This window comes from Homo sapiens, chromosome 3 (assembly GCF_000001405.40).
Source record: "Homo sapiens chromosome 3, GRCh38.p14 Primary Assembly".
NCBI lineage: Eukaryota > Metazoa > Chordata > Mammalia > Primates > Hominidae > Homo > Homo sapiens.
This window is the reverse complement of record NC_000003.12, coordinates 147504610-147510609: the sequence shown is the minus strand read 5'-3', so window position 1 is coordinate 147510609 and position 6000 is coordinate 147504610. Positions and strand designations below refer to the sequence as shown.

Here is a 6000-nt window from a genome sequence, read left to right as displayed (position 1 = left end):
AAAGAGTATATGAGCTTGCATATTTTACATATATCATCAAACACAATTTTTTTACTTAAGATAATAAAGAATGTCCCTGAATTCTCAGATTCCAACTAGCTAGTGCTACATGCACAAGTTATTGAAGATCTTAGGGAAATTAACTCCATCAGCTAATGCAAAATACTCTCCAATTAAAAACATTTCCAGTCAAAGTCAAATTCTCTAAAGCCATCACGTTTTGTTTTCATTTAAGACTGTCCAAGGAACACATAAATCTAAATGATCAGAATTACTTCACTCAGTTAATACTCCTGTAATTTAAATGATTTTATTATGCATACATGCAGAACTTATAAATTATACATTCAGAACTTATAAATCATACATTTATAAACAATTATTCTCCTTTTCATTTTATTTTTAAAATTAATCTCATTTATCATTTTTCAGTCTATAATAAATATGTCCATTTTATCTGCTTCTGAGTGAAAACAAGAGTTGGTGGATTAGTAGTAACAAAAAACACGAAAATGTATCAAGAATTGCCCCACCTGTTCTATCTAGTAGCTCCCACCCCACCACCCTGAACCAGTGGAAATAACTGTGTCACCCTGAATGGCAGACACAATTACTATTTCCGTTCTTGAGTCAGGATTCAAGCCAATAACATGTTTTAACTGACATGAAAACTTTAAAGGAATAAGCATTTTACACATAGCAAATATTTAACAATTTTATTTTTTATTTTTTATTTTTATTTTTTTTGCTTCTCACAGAAAAGTTTGTAAGGTAGGTACTACTCCTCTCATTATATATGTGAATAAATGGAGGAAGATAAGTAACTTGCCCAAAATCACAAAGCCAGAAGATGAATCCCAAAAGAACATTAATCCAGGGCTGTTTCTTTCTGCTAAATGATGCTATTGCGTCCTTTCAGGGCTTCTGGGAAACTCTTCAGACTTGCTGACAGCACTTTTCTAGGACAGCTGAGACGCATTCGCTAATCTCTGAGCTGCTTGTCCTTTGTGGTTTACTTTGGCCAAGACATAGAAAAGACAGTTGAGAATAACAGTTATTTGCATGCCTGGAAATACTTAGCAAGTAAAAATGATTTCTACAAATAATGTATTTACTATGTAGAAAAGGATCTTTCTGCTTTTCTAGCTCATTTTCCTGCATAAATTAATTTTGTCTTACCTTTGTTCAGTGTTCACTGCCATTTAGCAATGTGTCATTTCTATGAATTACAGCGATAATACCATAATAATAATAAAGAAAAAGAGGAAGATGAGGAAATAGATATAAAAATGATAAATATTTTTCATTGAAAAGTTATCTCAGATTTTATATTAAAACAGTATAGCAATAATTGCCTCTTTATTTGCTGGAAGTTGTATTTTTAATAATTTGCTTCCTACATCTGGCATAGAATTTACCAGAGAAAGTATGTGCAATAAAAAGAGATAAGTAAAATTTTTGTTTGTTTTTAACCTTTTGTGTAAGCAGGGTTACAAAATGCCAAGTGAAATCTGAAATTTTATTTTTCTCATCTAATCTAATTTCCTACAGAAAATTATCCTAGGAAAATATAATATATATTGGCTTACTTCTTAAGCCGCCTCCTCCTTTAAGTAATATTTTTGTGCCCTTGAATATTTTATCTAATTATAAAACCAAGAAAATGAGATGTTTTTGCACAAAACTTAATAAAAATTGACTCAAGACACAACATTTTCCTGTCTCCATACAAACTGGTGATGAATATTTTAAATTCTAGCAACCACATGTATTTTAAAATAATTTTCTTAACTTCTTACTCTGTTTTTTTTTAGAGACAGGATCTCGCTCTGTCTTCTGGACTGGAGTGCAGTGGCATAATCATGGCTCACTGTAGCTGCAAACTCCTGGGCTAAAGTGATCCTCTCTGGTAGCAAGGACTGCAGGTGTGTGCCACAATACCCAGCTAATTTTTAAATTTTTTGTAGAGACAAAGTCTCTCTGTGTTGCCCTGGCTGGTCTTGAAATCCTGGCCTCAAGCAATCCTCCTCCTTCAGCCGCCCAAAGTACCAGGATTACAGGCTTGAGCCACTATGCCCAGCCTCCTTAGGTATATATTTATCACAACTGTTCCATAAATTATTTGTATAATTGATAATACAAGAAAATCCCTAGTAGTTACTCAGTTGTGGCCAAATTATCTGCTGAGGCTTAGAATAACAGTATAATAGCAATAACAACAATACTAACAGATAACATTTAGTTAATGTTTATTTTGTGCTAGGCTGTGTTAATTTAATTTAATCTTCATGGTAATTCCATTGAATGTAAGTATTATTATTATTTTCATCATTATATTCTTATTACCGTAAATGAGAAAATTGATGCCCTGATTGTGCAGCCAGCAGTGGTGGAATGAGGAATTGTACCCAAACAATCTCAACCTCAGAACTACAGCTTTTAACCAGTATGTTATACTACACCCAGGAAGGCCTTAACTTTGATATTTCCCTTATTTTTATTTCTCTGTTTGTGCTGTCAGAGTAGATGGGTTTGCCAGGAAAGTTTCAGAACTCACCAGACCTGCTGGAAGAACTTCAGACTTAGCGATGCCTTGAGATTGTGCCATATCAAACCTAGCTCCTGAGAGTCTTTCCAGCTTAAAGTCACATCCTAGAGCTTCCCAGGAGCTGTCATACAGAGGGAGGAAACCATCAGTCAGTCACCTGAACATCTGTAACACCAAACAGCCATTTCAAGAGGTAGAGCTTTGCCCAGTGCATTTTAGGCCCTCTCTTGGGAACATAAGGTCACCCCGCTGGTTCAGAAAGTTGAAAACAAGCTCTTATTAAGTGATGGATGTGGCATCATTGCACAAGATGTTCCCTGAGTAATGTTTTCCTGTTCCTGGAACTGAAAAGGAAATTAACTAAGAGAAAAGAAGTAAATTCTGGGACTAAGGCTAGCCAGTGGTCTGTATATTTACTATATTCATGCAGAATAGCAAAAATTTCAGGTGAATTGAAGATATCCTAGAGCCATAAACTGAAAACCTCTTACAGTGACTGTAATAAGTGAGCGTAAGAAAAAACGGAAGGGTAAAGAAGAGTGAGAATTGGGGGGAGGGAGGGAAGAAGGGAGGGAAGGAAAGAAGGGAGGGAGGGAAGGAAGGAAGGAAGGAAGGAAGGAGGGAAGGAAGGAAGAAAGGAAGGGAGGGAGGGAGGGAGGGAGGGAGGGAAGGAAATAGCCAACTGAACATTTTTGAAAATTAAAATTCCATAACACCATTATGGGCTCAATTTGTATTTTGCTAATTCTCACATGAGTTGAAAATTTTGTCCAGTTCTGAAATACTCCTGGGAGGCATAGTATGTAAAGGTGACCAATGTGATGTGGTACACTATCAGATAATATATATGATCAGTTTTTTTGAGATATTTTAATGATTGATATGAATCTATTTTAATGCATTTATAGAAGCTTTGTAAATCTAATTTAGACATATGTTAACTAAATTTTTACTTTTATATGTTCCCACTTTTAGAAAACTGTATTTTTCTTAGAATTGAATAAATTTTTTGTGGGTGTGTGTGTTTTCTATATTCAGTCTCTCTCCCATTATAAATTGTACTTGCTATATATTTGTGCATTGACTCACATTCAATACACAAGAAGTTGTATTGCATATTTCTGAAATATATGTACAATCACGTGTCACTTAACTACAGATATATATTCTAAAAAATGTGTCATTAGGCAATTTCCTCCTGGTACAAACATAGTATAGCATATACTCATATAAATGTAGCTGGTGTAGCTTACACACCTAGGCTATTTAGTATAGCCTATTGCTCCTAGGCAACAAACCTGTACAGCATGTTACTGTACTGGATACCACAGGTAATTGCAACCCAAAGGTAAGTATCTGTGTATCTAAACATAGAAAAGATACAGTAAAAATACAGCACTAAAATCTTATGGGACCACTGTCATACATGCAGTCCATAGTTGGCCAAAACATATCTTGAAGCACATGACTGTGATGGCTTATATGTTAAATTATATTTGTAAATAAAATAGAAGAGCGTATTACTTAATAAAATTCAATCCTTGTATATTTATAAAGTGAAAATGCCCCCTTTATGTGTCCTGTTACATAATAGATATAAAAAATCATTTGTGTAATTAATTAATATAGTATAAGTTCATCCTATATTATGTTCAACTGACAGAAAATAACTAGCTGTTGTCTAAGTTGAACAACCCCTCTGATATTTAAAATTACTGAATCTTCTCTTCGCTTTCCATGAACAAAAAATCAAGATGCCTATTATGACAGATATAGACAGTTTGTAGATAAGAATTTTAATTTTTAAGAGAAAATATAGGTATCATTTCAAGGAATTATTGATATATAATTTCACATTTTAAATCCTCAACAAATATTAAATGTTACTTTTGAATGCTAATTATTGTTTCGAAAGTTAAATATCAAACATCTAAGAAAACTTACTAAATGATCTAGAACAATGAGAGGTAGTGGGAGAAAACAGGTGAAGGGCAGGCAGACGCAAGTTCACAAGGGGCCTCCTAGACCACAGTTAGGGCTATGGAGCTTCAGTCTAAGTACAGGAAGGCCATTGAATGCTTTTTGATGCTTAAGTCACATTTATTGGGGTATAATGTACCTCATGTACATAATTTGGGGCAGAAGCTCCTCACAGCCTACAATACATGTGCAAAATTCTTGGAGTTAAAGGGAGGCACTTTATGAAAATGTGTTTACTTTCCTATTTTTATTTCTAGGGGGATACAACGCATTCTATAGGATTGGAACTCTCTTTATACATATATGTGTGTTTGTGTTTGTGTGTGTGTGAGAGAGAGAGAGTGTGTGTGTGTATATGTGTGTGACAGAGACAGATACATACAAATATGTCACATCATATATGAATGTATTAAAATTCACTCTTTGCATGTAAAACTGATGATTATAGATAAATGTATAAAGATGTGCAACTGTCACAATCAAGAAATAGATCATTTACCTCACACCAAAAAGTTCTCTTGCATCCACCACCCCCTAGCAACTACTGGTCTGATTTTGTCCCTATAGTTTTTCCAAAATGTCATGTAAATGGAATAAATGGAATCTTGTAGGTTTTGTGTCTTGCTTCTCTTAATTAGCATAATGCCTTTCAGACTCACCGATGTTCTGGTATGTAACAGCTCATGATTGCTGAAAGAATTCTATTGTACGAATTATTATAATTTGTTTATTCATTCACTAGTTGATGAACATTTGTATTATTTTCAGTTTGGGCAATTATAAATAAAGCCTTGAAAGCCTTTTAAAGAAGGAGAGACATAATTTGGCTTACACTATAAAAAAATACTGGCTCCTGTACGGAGAATGAATGTCAGGGCATTTAAAGTGGGAGGCTAGAGGCAGGGAAGTCAGCATGCAGTCCAAGTGACAGAAGATGGTAGCTGGTACAAGCAGAGATGTAGAGAAATCAATAGAATTAAAACGGTTATTTTAAAAGCAAAATGTAGAGCACCTGAAATAATATAGAAGTAGGAAAAATCACAGATGCCTGGAGCAACTAGATTATTGTTCACCTCTTCACTGCCGGTTATCTCTCCCCATATCAATTCAGTATGAACACTCCATGGGTATCAGTTAGTGAAATTAAATTTGGGACATCAAAAATTTGAAAACATAGAGTTTTCTATGAAATCTACAATATATCATTCAGTCCCATAAAAACAAATCTTTCATGACAGACAGGTAACTTCTAGAGCCTTATAGTAAGTCTCTACAATACTATCTTTCAACAAAATACGATTTAATTTCCCTTCAGATTTACACTTGGAACACTAAGATTAGATCAGATAATTTGGGGAATTTAAAATAATGTCACATTCACATTTTGGTCTATATATGAATTTATCAAAAATATTAGAACTGTGAGAGACCTCTTTCACTGGGATACCTGAAGCAGCACATAATTCTGAGAG

At 34.1% G+C, this 6000-nt stretch overlaps 1 long non-coding RNA gene across 1 annotated transcript in view; it reads right to left on the bottom strand.

The window, feature by feature from the left end:
- Positions 1-699: 699 nt before the first annotated feature.
- LOC440982 (uncharacterized) overlaps positions 700-6000 on the bottom strand; it is an 88584-nt gene continuing 83283 nt past the window's right edge. Inside the window, exons 2-3 of the long non-coding RNA NR_121655.1 lie at positions 2558-2669; positions 700-1015 (exon numbers count right to left, since the gene is read on the bottom strand). This is a non-coding gene — a long non-coding RNA (uncharacterized LOC440982). The remainder of the gene's footprint in view (positions 1016-2557; positions 2670-6000) is intronic.